A 19107-nucleotide genomic window follows, 5' to 3' on the forward strand; every position below is an offset into this window, starting at 1 on the left:
TCCAGGGTTCAAGCGATTCTCTCGCCTCAGCCTCCTGAGTAGCTGGGATTACAGGTGCCCGCCACCACGCCCCTCTATCCATACTCTTTTAATGCTTTACTGTTGAGTTTTAAAATTCACAGTGATTTTTAAACAAAGGTCCCACATGTTCTTTTTGCACCGAGCCCCGTAGATTCTGTAGTTGGTCCTGGAGATCTGGCCCTGGAGATAAAAATCCTTGGGACTATAAAAAGGCAGGTGGGACTGGGCGCGGTGGCTGACACCTGTAATCCCAGCACTTTGGGAGGCAAAGGCGGGCAGATCGCTTGAGGTCAGAAACTCGAGACTAGCCTAGGCAACATGATGAAACTCTGTCTCTACTAAAAATATAAAAATTAGCCGGGCGTGGTGGCTCATGCCTGTAGTCCCAGCTACTCAGGAGGCTGAGGCAGGAGAATCGCCAGAACTTGGGAAGCAGAGATTGCAGTGAGCTGAGATCAAGCCACTGTACTCCAGCCTGGGTGACAGAGTGAGACTCCGTCTCAAAAAAAAAAAAAAAAAAGGCAGATGGAGGGGTTACAGCCATGTGCACCGTGCTTGGTTAGCATGGCAGGTGGTGTAGAAAAGTGAGTAGGAGTGAATGCTTTTGAACACAGATTCATCGCTGTGTCCCTTGCAGTGTGACCTTGGACATGTCATTTAACTGTCTGTTGTTGTTGCTGCTGTTTTTGTCTTGCCTTCAGAGCTTCCTGGCCCTCTTCGTACTGGGCTTCAGGAGGAGTATAAGAGGGCTTTGCGATATGGGGGATGGGCATGGAGGTTGGACATGCCTTTTTCTAGAACGCTGATGGTGTACCTGTTTGGCACAGTCCCAAAACAGTAGGAGCCCCTAATGCTGTCTCCTTGTACCAATCCCTGGCTAGGGAATTTTTTTTTTTTTTTCAGATGAGGTCCAGTGGATGACAGAGCAAGACTTCATCTCAAAAAAAAAAAAAAAGAAAAAGTGAAAAAGTGCAGTGGTGTGATCTCACAGCTCACTGCAACCTTGAGCTTCTGGGCTCAAGGGATCCTCCTGTCTCAGCCTTCTGAGGAGCTGAAACTACAGACATGCAGCGCTATCCCTGGCTAACCGGGGATGTTTCTGCCTGCACATTTCCCTGTGGAAACTGATGAACATCTTTGGAGTCTCAGCTTAACTTGAGGGCTGCCTCCTTGCTGCTTATGAGAATGATTCATTGCACCAAAGTCCCATTTGGTTAAAAGATGAGGCCGGGCACAGTGGCTAACACCTGTATTCCCAGTGCTTTGGGAGGCCAAGGCAGGAGGATTGCTGGAGGCCAGGAGTTTGATACCGGTCTGGGTAATATAACAAGATCCCGTCTCTATAAAATTAAAAAAATGAGCTGGGTGTGGTGACGCCCACCTGTAGTCCCAGCTACTGGGGAGGCTGAGGTGGGAGGATCACTTGAACCCAGGAGTTTGAGGCTGCAGTGAGCTGTGATGGAGCCACTGCACTCTAGCCTGGGTGCCAGATTGGGATGCTGTCTTTAAAAAAAAAAAAATCTGGGCCGGGCGAAGTGGCTCATGCCTGTAATCCCAGCACTTTGGGAGGCCAAGGCGGGTAGATCACCTGAGGCCAGGAGTTCGAGACCAGCCTGGCCAACATGGTGAAACCCCCTCTCTACTAAAAATACAAAAATTACCCAGATGTGGTGACACGCACCTGTAATCCCAGCTACTCGGGAGGCTGGGGCAGGAGAATTGCTTGAACCTGGGAGGTGGTGGTTGCAGTGAGCCGAGATAACGCCACTGCACTCCAGCCTAGGCAACAGAATGAGATTCTGTCTCAAAAAAAAAAAAAAAATCAAGTGGCTCTTTGGGTAAAAAAGAAAAGAAAAGGAAAAAGATGCATGATCGTTATGGTTTGTATATTTATTACTAAGAAAGAAGCAGTGCTGGAAATTCCACTCTGCCCACCATTGATCATGAGACATAGTTCAATGTCAAAGGCACTATGGAAGCATCAGCACTGAGAGCTGATGAAATGGTCAAGCTTTTCTGTTTAATGCCCATGCCCGTCCTCTGACGCGGATGCTGTCAACATCCTCCACACGCACATCGGGAGACGGCGGTCCCTCCAGAAGCACAAGCTCCTTCCAGAGGCTGGCTCCTGACCCCTTTTCCTTTCCTGCTCCTCTAACTCATTGTTCCTCCCCCTTTCTTCCTCCAGTCACATTGAGTACTGCTGGCCTCTCACCACTTGTCTTAAGAATCTATGTGTCTTTCTCTCGGTGCTAAAGAATTCAGGGAGGCAGGGACTGTTCCGAGTTGTCTTTGTCTCCCTGTCACCCCAGCCTTCCACAGGGTCAGCTTTGCCTACCTGAACTGAGCTGTTCTGCCCAGCCTCCCCATGGCGAGCAGGCACAAATGAACTGCAAGCGTGCGGTTGCCAAGGAGACCTTGGTACGTCCAGTGCTGGCCAAACTAAACACCCTCCTTTGCAAGGAAAGCTTTGTGAACAAGTGTGGACACGTCCTTGCTTTCAAAGCAACAGTTTGAAAATGGCCAAGTTCCTTTTTTAAAAAAGCTTTTCTGTCAGGGCGAGGTGGCTCATGCCTGTAATCCCAGCACTCTGGGAGGCCGAGACAGGCAGATCACGAGGTCAGGAGATTGAGACCATCCTGGCTAACACGGTGAAACCCCATCTCTACTAAAAAATGCAAAAAATTAGCCGGGCATGTAGTCCCAGCTACTCCGGAGGCTGAGGCAGGAGAATGGCGTGAACCCGGGAGGCGGAGCTTGCAGTGAGCCAAGATTGCGCCACTGCACTCCAGCCTGGGTGATAGAGCAAGACTCCATCTCAAAAAAAAAAAAAAGATTTTCTTTCTTTTTTTTTTTCTTTTTTCTTTTTCTGTTTTTCTTGCAACAGGGTGTCGCTCTGTCACCCAGGCTGGAGTGCAGGCATGCAATCACAGCTCACTGCAGCTTTCTGGGCTCAGGTGATCCTCCTGTCTCAGCCTCTCAAGTATCTGAGACTACAGGCACACACCACTACACCTGGCTATTTATTTATTTATTTATTTATTTATTTATTGTAGACACAATGTCTCCCTATATTGTTCAGGCTGGTCTCAAACTCCCGGCCTCAAGAGATCCTCCTCCCTCAGCCTCCCATAGTGCTGGGATTATAGGGGTAAGCCACTTTGCCCTGCCTCTGTTCTAATTTTTTTATTTTAATTAACTTGCTTTTTTATTTCTTAATTTTTATTTTTTTAGAGATGAGGTCTTGCTACATTGCCCAACCTGGTCTTGAACTCCTGGGTTCAAGCAATCCTCATGCTTCAGCCTCCAGAGTAGCTGGGATTATAGGCACATGCCACCGTGCCCGACTAAATGTTTATAAATAAACTTCTGAATTTGGAATTTAGGCTTACAGGAAACGCATGGACAGTACGGAGTTCCCATACACCCCACACTCTGTGTCTCCTAACGTTTTACCTAACCACAGCACAACCAACTATGTTGTTACAACTATGAAATGAACTTTGAGGACAGGTGCAGTAGCTCGTGCCTGTAATCCTAACATTTTGGGAGGCTGAGGCAGACAGTTCACTTGAGATCAGGAGTTTGAGACCAGCCTGGCCAACATAGCAAAACTTTATCTCTAATAAAGATACAAAAAAATTAGCCAGGCGTGGTGGTGCACGCCTGTAATCCCAGCTACTCGGGAGGCTGAGGCAGGAGAATTGCTTGAACTCGGGAGGCGGAGGTTGTGGTGAGCTGAGAGTGCACCACTAAGCTCCAGCCTGGGTGACAGAGCAAGACTCTGTCCCCCTGACCAAAAAAAAAAAGAAAGAAAGAAAGAAAGAAATCAGTCTGGGGGCAGTGGCTCATGCCTGTAATCCCAGCATTTTGGGAAGCCGAGGTGGGTGGATCACCTGAGGTCAAGAGTTCGAGACCAGCCTGGCCAATATGGTGAAACCTTATCTCTACTAAAAATACAAAAAATTAGCCAGGCATGGTGGTGTGCGCCTGTAGTTCCAGCTACTCAGGAGACTGAGGCATAAGAATCGCTTGAACCCATTAGGCAAAATTTACAATGAGCCAAGATCATGCCACTGGAAGGAAGGAAGGAAGGAAGGAAGGAAGGAAGGAAAGAAGGAAGGAAGGAAGGAAGGAAGGAAGGAAGGAAGGAGGAAGGAAGGAAGGAAGGAAGGAAGGAAGGATTTTCCAGTGAGACAAGATTGCGCCACTGCACTCTAGCCTGGGTGACATAGCAGGACTCCAACTCAAAAAAAAAAAAAAAGATAAATCAACATTGGTACATGACTGTTAACCTCCTGACTTTATTCAAATGTTGCCAGCTCTTCTATCTAAGTCTTTTCTGGTGAAGAACCCCATCCAGGGTACCCCATTGCATTTCGTTGTCTTATTGCCCTAGTCTCCTCTGGTCTGTGTCAATTTCTCAGTCACCTTATTTCTCATGACCTTGGCAGTCTTTTTCTTTCCTTCTTTCCTTCTTTCCTTCCTTCCTTCTTTCCTTCCTTCCTTCCTACCTTCCTCTCTCTCTTTCTTTTGACAGAGCCTGGCTCTGCTGTCCAGGCTGGCATGCAGTAGTACAATAAGAGCTCACTGCAACCTCTGCCTTGTGGGCTCAATTGATCCTCCTACCTCAGCCTCCCGAGTAGCTGGGACTACAGGTGCCCACCACCATGCTTGGCTTTGACTGGCAGGGCATCTTGAAGAACGCCCTTCCCTCTAGTCTGGGTCTGTCTGTTATTTTTCTCATGATTATACTGAGGTTATGAATTTGGTTCAAGTTCTTTTAATCCAGACATCCCCCTACAGGAAGAGGCTGTCAAAAATTTTTGAAAGAAACTTTCTGCTTTGTCAAAAGGGATTGAAAAAACAAATCACCTGTCATGCCACCTCTCTGACAAACTTGTGTTTCTATTTCCCAGGTCGTTGATCTGAGGTGGGGTATTCGGAACATTGAAGCCACTGACCACTTGACCACAGAACTCTGCTTGGAGGAGGTTGACCGGTGTTGGAAAACATCCATAGGGCCAGCTTTTGTTGTGAGTGTCTTGGGAGGAATGGGTTAGCTCTTACTCCTCCAGGATATGCCCCCTGCTTTCTAGACAAACTGATCAGCAGAGGGAAGTAGGTACCGTTTCTGCTTTCGTACCTTATCCCTATGGCCTGCCTGTGGCAGACATTACTAATCAATCACAGAACTCTTTCTGCAGAGCTGAATGGGATCCAGACATTAGCAGTCAAATGGAAGCAGCAGGTGGCTTGGAGAGTAGAATGTTGAAGCCAGAAGGAATCTTGGAATTTGATCTGGACTTTCTCCCACCTTCCCCACCCCCTCCACTTTATGTCTATAGAACTTTGGGATCCTGGAAAGCCATGGAAAAGGTGGAAACCCACAGGGTCTTGGGATATTTTTTTTCCTCCATGTGCCCACTGGTTTCAGGTCGTGGGGACTTCTCCCCTCTCTCTTCCAATTGCACCCCTTCTATCAAAAAATCAATCTCCAGTCCACAATTAATGGTTTTGGCTATTAAAATTGAATGATATTCCTGAGTCTTTTTTCTTTTTCTTTTTTGAGACAGAGTCTCAAAAAAGCCCAGGCTAGAGTGCAGTGGCAAGATCATGGCTCACTACAGCCTTGAACTCCTGGGCTTCTGATCTCCCTGCCTTGTTCTCCCAAGTAGCTGGGACTACAGGTGTGTGCCGCCACAGTTGGCTAGTATTTTTTTGGAAATATGGGGTCTCACTATGTTGCCCAGGCTGGTCTTGAACTCCTAGGCACAAGTGATCCTCCCACCTTGGCCTCCCAAAGTTCTGGGATTACAGGCATAAGCCAATGCACCTGGTCTAGTTTTAAGTTTTTTTTTTTTTTTGAGATGGGTCTTGCTATGTTGCCCAGGCTGGCCTGAGTCCTAATTTATTACATCGAGTTCCAGATACATCCAAGAACGATCACATTTTCCTTAGAAATTCTAGAGCAGGGGGCCGGGCGTGGTGGCTCACACCTGTAATCCCAGCACTTTGGGAGGCCAAGGTGGGTGGATCATGAAGTCAGGAGATTGAGACCAGCCTGGGCAACATAGTGAAGTCCCATATCTACTAAAAAATTAGCTGGGCATGGTGGCACGTGCCTGTAATCCCAGCTACTTGGGAGGCTGAGGCAGGAGAATTGCTTGAACCTGGGAGGCAGAGGTTGCAGTGAGCCGAGATCATGCCACTGTACTCCAGCCTGGGCGACAGAGCAAGACTCTATCTCGAAAAGAAAAGAAAAGAAAAGAAAAGAAAAGAAAAGAAAAGAAAAGAAATTCTAGAGCAGAGGCCAACAAGCTATAGCCTGAAAGGCAAGTGTGGCCTGCTGCCTGTCTTTGTAAGTAAAGCTTTATTGGCACACAGCCATGTCCACTTGTTTACACATTGTTTAGCCCTGCTTTCAAGCTATAATGGCAGAGTTTAGTCGTTCTGACAGAGACCATCTGGCCTGTAAAGCCAAAAGTATTGACTGTCTGACTTTTTCCAGGAGAAATGTGCTGATCCCTGTCCTGGACAGTAAAGAGGGAAAAAGTAAAGAAAAGTACCATGGCCAGGTATGGTGGCTCACTCCTGTAATCTCTGCATTTTGGGAGGCTGAGGCAGGTGGACAATTTGAGGTCAGGAGTTTGAGAGCAGCCTGGGCAACATGGTGAAACCCCATCTCTACTAAAAATACACAAATTAGCCAGACGTGGTGGCACATGCCTGTGATCCCAGCTACTTGGGAAGCTGAGGCAGGATAATCATTTGAAACTGGGAGGCAGAGGTTGGAGTGAGCCGAGATTGTGCCACTGCATTCCAGACTGCGCAACAGACGGAGACTCTGTCAAAAAAAAAAAAAAAAAAGGAGAAGGTGAGGGCCAGAGAGATATTCTATTTTCTGAGATCTATTTTCTGAGACCTAAAGTGTCCCAACATTATAACGAAAGACTGTAACAAGGGCTTTGGGAATTATGAGCCAGGAATAATGGGCAAAACATATATATATAATCTATATATAATATATATATTATATATATATAATATAATGATATATAATATATAATATATAATAACATATAACATACTATTATATGTATAATATATAATGTATACATTATATATTATATATAATACATTATCTATAATATATAATACATTATATATTATATATATATATATTTCACTCCTTTTTCTTTGAGACAAGGTCTTGCTATGTTGCCCAGGCTGGTTTTGAACTCCCGGACTGAAGCAATCCTCCAGCCTTAGCCTCCTGGGTAGCTGGGATTACAGTTATTCTTTTGATCTACACTTCTATTGTAATTTGGTGCCACTCTGTTTTATTTATTACTGCTTTAAAATATATCCTAATGTTTGGAAAACTCTACATTCTGTTGTAAATCTCCTAAATTTCCAGTCTCCTAAGTTTAATTTTTCAAAGGAGCCCAATGATCATTTTAATGAGTTTCCAAGAAAAAAAAAAAGGAGAGAGAGGCTGACCATGGTGGCTCATGCCTGTAATCCCGCACTTCAGGAGGCTGAGATGAGAGGATCACTTGAGCCCAGGAGTTCAAGACCAGCTTGAGTAACATAGTGAGACCCTATCTCTACCAAAAAAAAAAAAAAAAAAAAAAAAAATTATTTTTTTAAGGAAGAAAGGGAAAAGAAGGGAGACAAAGAACTCCAGGAGGAATCTGATTTTGCAACCCAAATTGCAGGCAGCCAAAAGCACAGTGCAGCTTTCTGATTGCACAGAGAACCTAGGGGTGATCTCTGAGCTTCTCTGGGGCCTGACCAACCGGCCCTGGGACCTTCCAGAAAGGCCCTATGGCCAGCTGAGCTGGACTTCCTTCCTGCTTCCATCTTGAACCAGGCATCACCCCTCTACTGCCCAAGAGCCACAGCATCATTCTGCTCCATGACTCTGATTTGTGGGGGCGCCTTCCACAAAAATCAGAGATGTGCTGGAGGCCCTTGGAGAGGTGTCTCTCTGGTAAATAAGTCATTAGGCAGCACCGAGGCCGGGGACAGCTCCCCATGGCACTTCCTTTTAGAGAGGCTCCTGTCTCTTGGGCTATCAGCAGCCCCAGTGTCTCCAGAGCTCTGAGAGTTGTTCCTGGTGGGAACTGTTCCTATTTCCCTTGCTCTGATCCCACAGATTGGAGCAGTTTGTTTTGTTTTGTTTTTTACCACCTGTTTCCTTCATATAACCTCTGGTCTGTGGTTGGCTTGTGTCTTAGTCTATTTTCTGTTGCTTATAACAGAATCCCTGAAACTGACTAGTTATAAAGAGATGAGGCTGGCCACCTTGGATCACACTTGTAATCCCAGCGCTTTGAGAGGCTAAAGCCGGAGGATCGTGTGATCCCAGGAGTTCAAGACCAGCCTGGGCAACGTAACAAGGCCCCATCTCTAAAAAAAAAAAAAGAACAGTTAGCTGGGGTGGTGGCTCATGCTTGTAGTCCTAGCTGCTCCGGAGGCTGAGATGGGAAAATCCCTTGAGCCCAGAAGTCTGAGGTGGCAGTGAACTATGATTGTACCGTGGCACTCTGGCCTGGGTGCCAGAGGAAGAGTCTGTCTCTTAAGAAAAAAAGAAGAAAAAAGAATAGAAAAGAAATTATTATTATTATTATTTTGAGATGGAGTCTCACTCTGTCACCCAGGCTGGGGTGCAGTGGGAACATGTTGGCTCACTGCAACCTCCATCTCCTGGGTTCAAGCAATTCTCCTGCCTCAGCCTCCTGAGTAGCTGGGATTACAGGTGCCCACTACCACACCTGGCTAATTTTTTTATATTTTTAGTAGAGACAGGGTTTCGCCATGTTGGCCAGGCTGCTCTTGAACTCCTGACCTCAGGTGATCCACCCACCTCGGCCTCCAAAAGTGCTGGGATTACAGGCGTGAGCCACTGCGCCCAGACTTCTATTTTTTTTTTTTTTTTTTTTTTGAGATGGAGTTGCTCCGTTACCCAGGCTAACTCCTAAGCTCAAGTGATCTGCCCACCCTATTCTCCCAAAGTGCTGGGATTACAGGTGTGAGCCACCGCACTGGCCCAGGTTAACTCTTTTGGATTCCGGTTTGCACCTACTCCAAGTGTGGTTCTGGCATTAAGACCAAAATTTTATGGCCTCCCATGCCCTACAGAATCTTGTGCAGGGGGGCCGGGTGCAGTGGCTTACGCCTGTAATCCAAGCACTTTGAGAGGCCGAGGCAGGCGGATCACTTGAGGTCAGGAATTCAAGACCAGCCTGGCCAACATGGCGAAACCCTGTCTCTACTAAAAATACAAAAAATTAGCCAGCTGTGGTCGTGGGTGCCTATAATCCCAGCTACTTGGGAGGCTGAGGCAGGAGAATCACTTGAATCTGGGAGGCAGAGGTTGCAGTGAGCCAAGATTGCACTATTACACTCCAGCCTGGGTAACAAGAGTGAAACTCTGACTCAAGAAAAGAAAAGGGGGAGGGGACAGCCTTATCCCCCTTCGCTGTCCCTCTTCTTGCCAGTGCCTTAGTCGCTGTGCCCTTCCTACAGCAGCCATGCTTCTTCCTGCCACAGGGCCTTTGCACATGCTGCTCCCCCTGCCTGCAAGATACTCTGCCTAATAAACTCCTTTTCATGTTTTTGGTTTTTTTGTTTTGTTTTGTTTTTGTGTTTTTTTTTTTTTTTTTGAGACAGTCTTACTCTGTCGCCCAGGCTGGAGTGCAGTGGCACCATGTCGGTTCACTGAAACCTCCCTCTCCTGGGTTCAAGCAATTCTCCTTCCTCAGCCTCCCAAGTAGCTGGGATTACAGGCACCTACCACCATGCCCGGCTAATTATTTTTATATTTTTAATAGATATGGGGTTTCGCTATGTTGGCCAGGCTGGTCTCGAACTCCTGACCTCAGGTGATCCACCTGCCTCGGCCTCCCAAAGTGCTGGGATTACAGGCATGAGCTACCATGCCTGGCTCTTTTCATGTCTTATTCTGCAGCTCAGGTGAATTTCCCTGACTCCCCAGGCTACGTACGACCCATGTTTTACCCTTTCTTCCTAGCACTCTAACAGCTGCCATTTGACCTTGGTCTGATTCTAGATTGATGCCTGCCTCTTTGGCTAAGACTCCAAGGTTGGCTGGGCCCGGTGGCTCCTGCCTGTAATCCCAGAACGTTGGGAGGCTGAGGTGGGCAGATTATTTGAGGTCAGGAGTTTGAGACCAGTCTGGCCAACATGGTGAAACCCAGTCTCTACTAAAAATACAAAAATTAGCCGGGTGTGGTGGTGGGCGCCTGTAGTCCCAGCTACTGGGGAGGTAGAGGTTGCAGTGAGCTGAGATTGTACCACTGCACGCCAGCCTGGGTGACAGAGTGAAACTGTGTCTCAAAAAAAGTAAATAGGCCAGGCGCAGTGGCTCATGCCTGTAATCCCAACACTTTGGGAGGCTGAAGCAGGCGGATCACCTGAGATCAAGAATTCGAGACCAGCCTGGCCAACATGGCGAAACCCTGTCTCTACTAAAAATATAAAAATTAGCCAGGCGTGGTGGCTCACGCCTGTAATCCCAGCTACTCAGGAGGCTGAGGCCGGAGAATCACTTGAACTCAGGAGGCAGAGGTTGCAGTGATCTGAGATTGTGCCACTGCACTCCAGCCTGGGCGACAGAGGGAGATTCCATCTCAAAAAAATAAAATAAATAATAAATAAATAAATATCTGTGGGCTGACTGTACTCAGAATGTGGCGCTTTCATACTGAGCTCTGATCTCTCCCTTTCTCCGTGGTCAGCCCTTAAGCCATCCTGTGACCTTGGACTAACTCTGTTCCATCCCCAGGCCCCTGTTTCCATGATAATAAAAGGGGAGAGCTGGACTTAGGGTCCTCTTAGCCCTGCTTCACCTCTGATTCTCCCTGGAAGGACCAGAACTAGAATGGAGAACCACCACAAGATTTAATTTAAATCTTAATTATCGAGATAAATTGTATATATATTTTGAGACGGAGTTTCGCTCTTGTTGCCCAGGCTGGAGTGCAATGGCGCAATCTCGGCTCACCACAACCTCCGCCTCCAGGGTTCAAGCGATTCTCTTGCCTCAGGCTCCCGAGCAGCTGGGACTACAGGCATGTGCCACCATGCCTGGCTATTTTTAAAAAAATTTTTTGTAGAGACAGGGTCTCACTATGTTGCCTATTATTATTATTATTATTATTATTATTATTATTATTATTATTTTATTTGAGACAGAGTCTTGCTCTGTCGCCCAGGCTGGAGTGTAGTGGTGCCATCTTGGCTCACTGCAACCTTCGCCTCCCGGCTTCAAGCAAGTCTCCTGCCTCAGCCTCCCTAGTAGCTGGGATTACACCTGCACGCCACCATGCCTGGCTAATTTTTGTATTTTTAGTAGGGGTTTCACCATGTTGGCCAGACTGGTCTCGAACTCCTCTTGACCTCAAATGATCTGCCCACCTCAGCCTTCCAAAGTGTTGAGATTACAGGCGTGAGCCACCTTGCCTGGCCCCATTATTTGTTTCTTTAGAGACAGGGTCTCACTCTGTCCCCCAGGCTGGAGTGCAGTGGTGCGATCACAGCTCACTGCAGCCTCGAACTCCTGAGCTCAAGCGGTCCTCCAGCCTCAGCCTCCTGAGTACCTGAGACTACAGATGCACACCCCCACACCCTGATAATTTTTAATTTTTATAGATATGGGGTCTCACTATGTTGCCCAGCTAGTCTCTAACTCCTGGGCTCAAGAGATCCTCCTGCCTTGGCCTCCCAAAGTGTTGGGATTACAGGCGTGAGCCACCATGCCTAGCCTAGGGGACAATTCTTTATTGACCCTCGTGACTTCTGGTGGCTCCAGGCTATAAGGGCGGTCAACTTCACCTCCATCTTCTCAGAGTGCTGGTTGGATTGAAGAATTGAATTGACATAAAATTGATTAACAGGAAAAGAAACCATACATATTTATTTATTTATTTATTAGTTTGTTTATTTATTTATTTATTTTGAGACAGAGTCTTACTCTGTTGCCCAGGCTGGACTGCGGTGGCACCATGTCGGTTCACTGAAACCTCCCTCTCCCGGGTTCAAGCAATTCTCCTGCCTCAGCCTCCCAAGTAGCTGGGATTACAGGCACCTACCACTACGCCCAGCTAATTTTTATATTTTTAGTAGATATGGGATTTCACTATGTTGGCCAGGCCAGTCTTGAACTCCTGACCTCAGGTAATCCACCCGCCTTGGCCTCCCAAAGTGCTGGGATTACAGGTGTGAGCCACCGCGCCTGGCCGATATACATTTATTAATACAAGTGTTTTACATGGCATAAGAACCCTCATAAGGAAATAAGGACCCACAAAAGCAGCTAGAGTCATTTACTTATATATTGAATTGGAGAAAGAATAGTAAATTGTGGCTGGGGACAGTGGCTCACGACAGTAATCCCAGCACTTTGTGAGGCTGAGATGAGAGGATCCCTTGAGTACAGGAGTTCAATACCAGCCCGGGTAATGTAGTGAGACCCTATCTGTACCGAAAATAAAAACTTAAAAATTAGCTGGGTATGGTGGCATGTGATTGTGGTCCAAGTGGGAGGATCACTTAAACCCAGGAGGTTGAGGCTGCAGTGAGCCATGGTTGTACCACCGCACTCCAGCCTGGGCGACAGAGCAAGACCTTGTCTGAAGAAAAAAAGTGAGATTTGAATCTGTGACTTCCTCTCTGCCAGGCCCTCATCGGTGATCAGTACGGCCCCTGTCTGATTCCCTCGCGGATCGATGAGAAGGAGTGGGAGGTATTGAGGGACCATCTGACTGCCAGGCCAAGTGACCTGGAGCTGGTGGCACGATACTTCCAGAGGGACGAGAATGCGTTTCCTCCCACCTACGTCCTGCAGGCACCAGGTACTGGGGAGGCCTGTGAACCAGAGGAGGCCACCTTAACTTCTGTCCTACGCTCTGGAGCCCAGGAGGCCCGGAGGCTGGGGCTCATCACCCAGGAGCAGTGGCAGCACTACCACCGGTCAGGTGAGGCCGCAGGGACTCCCCTCTGGAGACCCACAAGAAACTGACCACGTGTTCAGAATATCCATCCCCTGTTGGCAAAAATGCAACAGTCTGCATTTCTTGCAAATGCCAAACCAGTCAACCTCTGGTCCCTCGGCTCTGAGAAAGGCTGTTTTACTGATCCAAGATAGTTCAGCCATGTTCCTGATCAATCTTGGTCTCAGGATCTTCCTCTCCTCGCTGGCTCTTTCTTCTTGTCTCCCAGGGAGGTTCCTGGCACAGGGGCCGTATTAGTCTGTTCTCATGCCACTAATAAAGGCATACTTGAGGCTGGGTAATTTACAAAGGAAAGAGGTTTAATGGACTCACAATTCCACATGGCTGGGGAGGCCTCACAATCATGGCTGAAGGCAAAGGAGAAGCAAAGAGGCACATCTTACATGGTGGCAGGTAAGACAGAGTGAGAGCCAAGCGAAAGGGGAAATTCCTTATAAAACCATCAGATCTTGTGAGACTTATTCACTACCACGAGAACAGTATGGGGGAAACTATCCCCCATGATTCAATTATCTCCCACCAGGTCCCTCCCACAGCACGTGTGAATTATGGGAGCTACAATTCAAGATGAGATTTGGGTGAAGACACAGCCAAACCATATCAGGGGGAGCAATGCAGGGCGACTACCATCCCAGTTTGCCTGGGACGGAGGGGTTCCTAGGATGCAGGATTTGTATTACTAAAATCTGACAGGCTGAGCCCAGTAGTGCCTACCTGTAATCCCAGAATTTTGGAAGGCCGAGGCAGGAGAATCACTTGAGTTCAGGAGTTCGAGACCAGCCTGGGCAATATAGTGACACCTCATCTCTACAAAAAAAAAAAAAAACTTTTAAAAATTTGCCAAATGTGGTAGTGCATGCCTGTAGTCCCAGCCACTCAGGAGGCTGAGGCAGGAGGATTGCTTGAGCCCAGGAGGCAGAGGCTGTGGTAAGCCAAGATCATGCCACTGCACTCCAGCCGGGGTTACAGAGAGAGACCTGTCTCAAAAAACAAAAACAAAAACAAAAACAAAATTAGCTAGGTATAGTGGTGCATGCCTGTAGCCCCAGCTACTCAGGAGGCTGAGATGAGAGGATCGCTGGAGCCCGGGAGTTGGAGGCTGCATTGAGCTATGATCTTGCCACTGCACTCCAGCATGGGTGACAGAGTGAGACCCTGTCTCTAAATAAATAAATTAATTAATTAAATAAAATACAGTCTACCCTTGAACAACATAGTGTTTAGGGACTCTAACTCCTTGCACAGTCGAAAATCTGTGTATAACTTTTGACTCCCCCAAAACGTAACTACTAATAGCCCACCAATCACATAAATTGTTGACCAGGTGTGGTGGCTCATGCCTGTAATCCCAGCACTTTGGGAGTCTGAGGTGGGTGGATTACTTGAGCCCCGAGTTGGAGACCAGTCTGGGCAACATGGCAAAACCTCACCTTTATTTAAAAAAAAAAAATTAAAATTAGTTGGGTGTGGTGGTGCACACCTGTAGTCTCAGCTACTCAGGAGAGTGACGTGGGAGGATTGCGTCAGCCTAGGAGGCGGAGATTGCAGTGAACCAAGATTGTACCACTGTACTTCAGTCTGGGTGACAGAGTGAGACCCCGTATCAAACAAACAAACAAAGAAACAACATAAACAGTTGGCCGGGTGCGGTGGCTCATGCCTGTAATCCCAGCACTTTGGAAGGCTGAGGCAGACGGATCACGAGGTCAGGAGTTCAAGACCAGCCTGGCCAAAATAGTGAAACTCTGTCTCTACTAAAATTACAAAAATTAGCTGGGCATGGTGGTGCACACCTGTAGTCCCAGCTACTCGGGAGGCTGAGGCAGGAGAATCACTTGAACCCGGGAGGCAGCGGTTGTAGTGAGCTGAGATCGCACCACTGCACTCCAGCCTGGCAGCAGAGCAAGACTCTGTCTAAAAACAAAAAACAAAAAACAACAAAAAAAAACAGTCGATGAACACATATTTTGCATGTTCTATCTATCATATCCTGTTTTCTTACAATCAAGTAAGCTAGAGAAAAGAAAATGTTATTACAAAAATCACAAGGAAGAGAAAATATGTTTGCTGTTGATTAAACATAAGTGGATCATCAGTCACAAAGGTCTTCATCCTCATCATCTTCACCTTGAGTAGGAAGAGGAGGGGTTGGTCTTGCTGTCTCAGGGGTGGCAGAGGCAGAAGAAACTTGACCTGTGTAGTTCAAGCCCATGTTCTTCAATGGCCAACACTGTGTCATGTAACTTCCACCTCTGTCTAGTTCCAAGATATTTTCTTTTTCTTTCTTTTTTTTTTTTTTTGAGATGGAGTCTTGCTCTATTGTCCAGGCTGGAGTGTAGTGGTGCGATCTCAGCTCACTCCAACCTCTGCTTCCCAGGTTCAAGCAATTCTCCTGCCTCAGCCTCCTAAGTTGCTGGGATTACAGGCATGCGCCACCTCGCCTGGCTAATTTTTGTATTTTTAGTAGAGACGGGGTTTCCCCATGTTGCTCAGGCTGGTCTCGAACTCCTGACCTCTTGATCGGCCCGCCTTGGCCTCCCAAAGTGCTGGGATTACAGGTATGAGCACCCGCGCCTGGCTGACATTTTCTTTTTATTTATTTATTTATTTATTTATTTATTTATTTATTTAATTTTTTTTGAGACAAGGTCTTACTCTGTTGCCCAGGCTGGAGTGCAGTGGCACGATCACGGCTCAGTGTGGCCTCCAGCTCCTGGGGTCAAGCAATCCTCCCACCTCAGCCTTCCCAGTAGCTGGGACCGCAGTCACACGCCATCACAGGTGGCTAACTTATTTTTTGTAGAGACGGGGTTTTGCCGTTTTGCACAGGCTGGTCTCGAACTCCTGAGCTCAAGTGATCGTCCAGCCTCTGCCTCCCAAAGTGCTGAGATTACAGGCATGAACTACACCTGGCCCTCCAAGACATTTTCATCACCTCAAAAGAAGCTCTACCCATTAAACACTCCCCATCTCCCCTCTCCCAGCGCAGGCAACCATCAATCTGCTTTCTGTCTCTATTAATTTGCCTGTTCTGGACATTTCATGTCAATGGAATCTCACACTACATGGCCTTTTGTGTCTGGCTTCTCTCACTTGGCATCATATTTTTGAGGTTCATCCACATTTTAACACCTGTGAGTACTTCATCCATTTCAATGGCCGAATAGTATCCCATTGTGTGGAAGGACCATATTTTGTTTATCCATTCATCTGTTGATGGATGTTTGTTTTGATTTGTTTTGTTTTTGAGATGGAGTCTCGCTCTGTTGCACAGGCTGAAGTGCAGTGACATGATCTTGGCTCACTGCAACCTTTGCCTCCCGGGTTCAAGTGATTCTCCTGTCTTAGCCTCTTGAGTAGTTGGGATTACAGGCGTGCGGCATCACGCTGGGCTAATTTTTGTATTTTTAGTAGTGACAAGGTTTCACCATGTTGGCCAGGCTGGTCTCAAACTCCTGACTTCAGGTGATCTGCCCACCTTGGCCTCCCAAAGTGCTGGGATTACAGGCATGAGACCCCATGTCCAGCCCGTTGATGGATGTTTGGATTGTTTCTGTCTTTTGGCTATTGTGAATGGTGCTGTTACAAGCTAGGGTGTATTAATATTTGTTGGAGTCTCTGTTTTCAGGTATTTTCAGCAGATACCTGGGAGTGGAATTGCTGGGCGTGATAGTAACTCCATGTTTCACTTTTTGAGGATGACAGCATTGTTTTACAGTGTGACTGCTCCTCACATGGGACCTCTGTGTTGCCTACCCTGAGGGGTCTTTGATTAATAATGGCTAAATCAGGCCGGGCGCAGTGGCTCACGCCTGTAATCCCAGCACTTTGGGAGGCCGAGGTTGAATTGCTTGAGCTCAGTAGTTGGAGACCAGCTTGGGCAACATAGTAAGACCCCATCTCTACAAAAAATACAAAAATTAGCCAGGCGTGCTAGTGCATGCCTGTAATCCCAGCTACTCGGGAGGCTGAGGTGGAAGGATCGCTTGAGCCTAGGAGGCGGAGGTTGCAGTGAGCTAAGATCGCGCCACTCCACTCCAGCCTGGGTGACAGAGTGAGACCCTGTCTCAATAATAATAATAATAAGAAGAAGAATAAGAGTAATGGCTTAACTAGTGTAACTCTGGGTGCAGTCCCTGGACCAGCAAGCCTTGGCTTGTTGCAAATGCAAACTCCGGGGCCCCACTCAGATCTGCTGAATCACTTCTGGAGGTGGGGTCCAGCCATGTGGGTCTTTTCGAGACCCCCAGGTCAGACTCTGGTGCACGTTAATCTTGAGAACCAATGCACATCCCCCAACAACAGGTCTCCCAGCAACCCCATTTAGGTCAGCTGCTGACCCAATAATGACCACACTTCCTTCCCACCTTCCCCACTTTGGCAGTCATTGAGTGGGAGATAGAGCGGAGCCTGCTGAGCTCAGAGGACCGGGAACAGGGAGCCACCGTCTTCCTTAGAGAGATCCAAGACCTCCACAAACACATCCTTGAAGACTGCGCCCTTAGGATGGTGGACCGGCTCGCGGATGGCTGCCTGGACGCTGATGCCCAGAACCTTCTCAGCAGCCTCAAAAGTCACATCACTGACATGCACCCAGGGGTCCTCAAGACCCACCGCCTGCCGTGGAGCCGCGACTTGGTGAACCCCAAGAACAAGACTCACGCCTGCTACCTGAAGGAGCTGGGTGAGCAGTTTGTGGTGAGGGCCAATCACCAGGTCCTCACACGCCTCCGTGAGCTGGATACGGCCGGACAGGAGTTGGCGTGGCTCTACCAAGAGATCCGCCACCACCTTTGGCAGAGCTCGGAGGTCATTCAGACCTTCTGCGGACGCCAGGAACTCCTGGCCCGGCTTGGGCAGCAGCTCAGGCACGATGACAGCAAGCAGCACACCCCCCTGGTACTCTTTGGGCCCCCAGGCATTGGAAAGACAGCCCTGATGTGCAAGCTGGCTGAGCAGATGCCAAGGCTGCTGGGGCACAAGACAGTGACCGTCCTGCGGCTGCTGGGGACGTCACAAATGAGCTCAGATGCCCGTGGCCTGCTGAAGAGCATCTGCTTCCAGGTGTGCCTGGCCTATGGGCTGCCCTTGCCCCCTGCCCAGGTTCTGGACGCCCACACCAGGGTGGTCCAGTTTTTCCATACCCTCCTCCACACTGTCTCTTGCAGAAACTTCGAGTCTCTCGTGCTCCTGCTGGATGCTATGGATGACCTGGACTCTGTCCGCCATGCTCGGAGGGTTCCCTGGCTGCCTCTCAACTGCCCCCCGAGGGTGCACCTCATCCTCTCAGCTTGCTCGGGGGCACTGGGGGTTTTGGACACCTTGCAGCGGGTGCTCCTGGACCCGGAGGCCTACTGGGAGGTGAAGCCCCTTTCCGGAAACCAAGGCCAGCAGATGATCCAACTCCTGCTGGCAGCTGCAAGGAGGACGCTGAGCCCGGTGCACACAGATTTGCTCTGGGCCAGCCTCCCAGAGTGTGGGAACCCAGGGCGGCTGAGGCTGGCGTTTGAGGAAGCCCGGAAATGGGCCTCTTTCACCGTGCCTGTCCCGCTGGCCACCACCGCAGAGGAAGCCACGCACCAACTCTGCACCCGCCTGGAGCAGACACACGGGCAGCTCCTCGTGGCCCACGTGCTGGGCTACATTGTGTCTTCCCGGTAAGTCTCTGTGTTTTGAAACTCTTATTTATTTATTTATGTTTTCTTTTTTTATTTTTAGAGATGGAGGTCTGGCTATGTCACCCAGGCTGGAGTGCAGTGGTGTGATCATAGCTCACTGCAGTCTCCAACTCCCAGGCTCAAGTGATCCTCACGCCTCACCTGCTGAGTAGCTGGGACTACGGGCATGCACCACTGTGCCCAGCAAAATATAATTTTTTTATTTTTATTTTTATTTTTAGAGATAGGGGTCTGGCTCTGTCACCCAGGCTGGAGTGCAGTGGCATGATCATAGCTCACTGCAGTCTCCAACTCCCAGGCTCAAGTGATCCTCCCATCTCAGCCTGCCGAGTAGGGTAGCTGGGACTACAGGCATGCACCACTGTGCC

The 19107-nt window shown here is 48.3% G+C and overlaps 1 protein-coding gene across 10 annotated transcripts in view; it reads left to right on the plus strand.

The window, feature by feature from the left end:
• The window catches only part of NWD1 (NACHT and WD repeat domain containing 1), a 98117-nt gene that overhangs the window by 11847 nt on the left and 67163 nt on the right, over nt 1–19107 (plus strand). For 7 of the 10 annotated variants that reach the window (XM_011527929.2, XM_024451466.2, XM_011527930.3 and 4 more), the window contains 3 exons: nt 4941–5057; nt 12728–13025; nt 17446–18718. In XM_011527929.2, coding sequence (XP_011526231.1) covers nt 4941–5057; nt 12728–13025; nt 17446–18718 — 1688 coding nt within the window. Of the gene's footprint in view, nt 1–4940; nt 5058–6532; nt 6600–12727; nt 13455–17445; nt 18719–19107 lie in introns of those variants that run through there. The other 3 variants (NM_001347994.1, NM_001290355.3, XM_011527934.1) reach the window with 3 other exon arrangements.

Source organism: Homo sapiens, chromosome 19, assembly GCF_000001405.40.
Source record: "Homo sapiens chromosome 19, GRCh38.p14 Primary Assembly".
Lineage (NCBI taxonomy): Eukaryota > Metazoa > Chordata > Mammalia > Primates > Hominidae > Homo > Homo sapiens.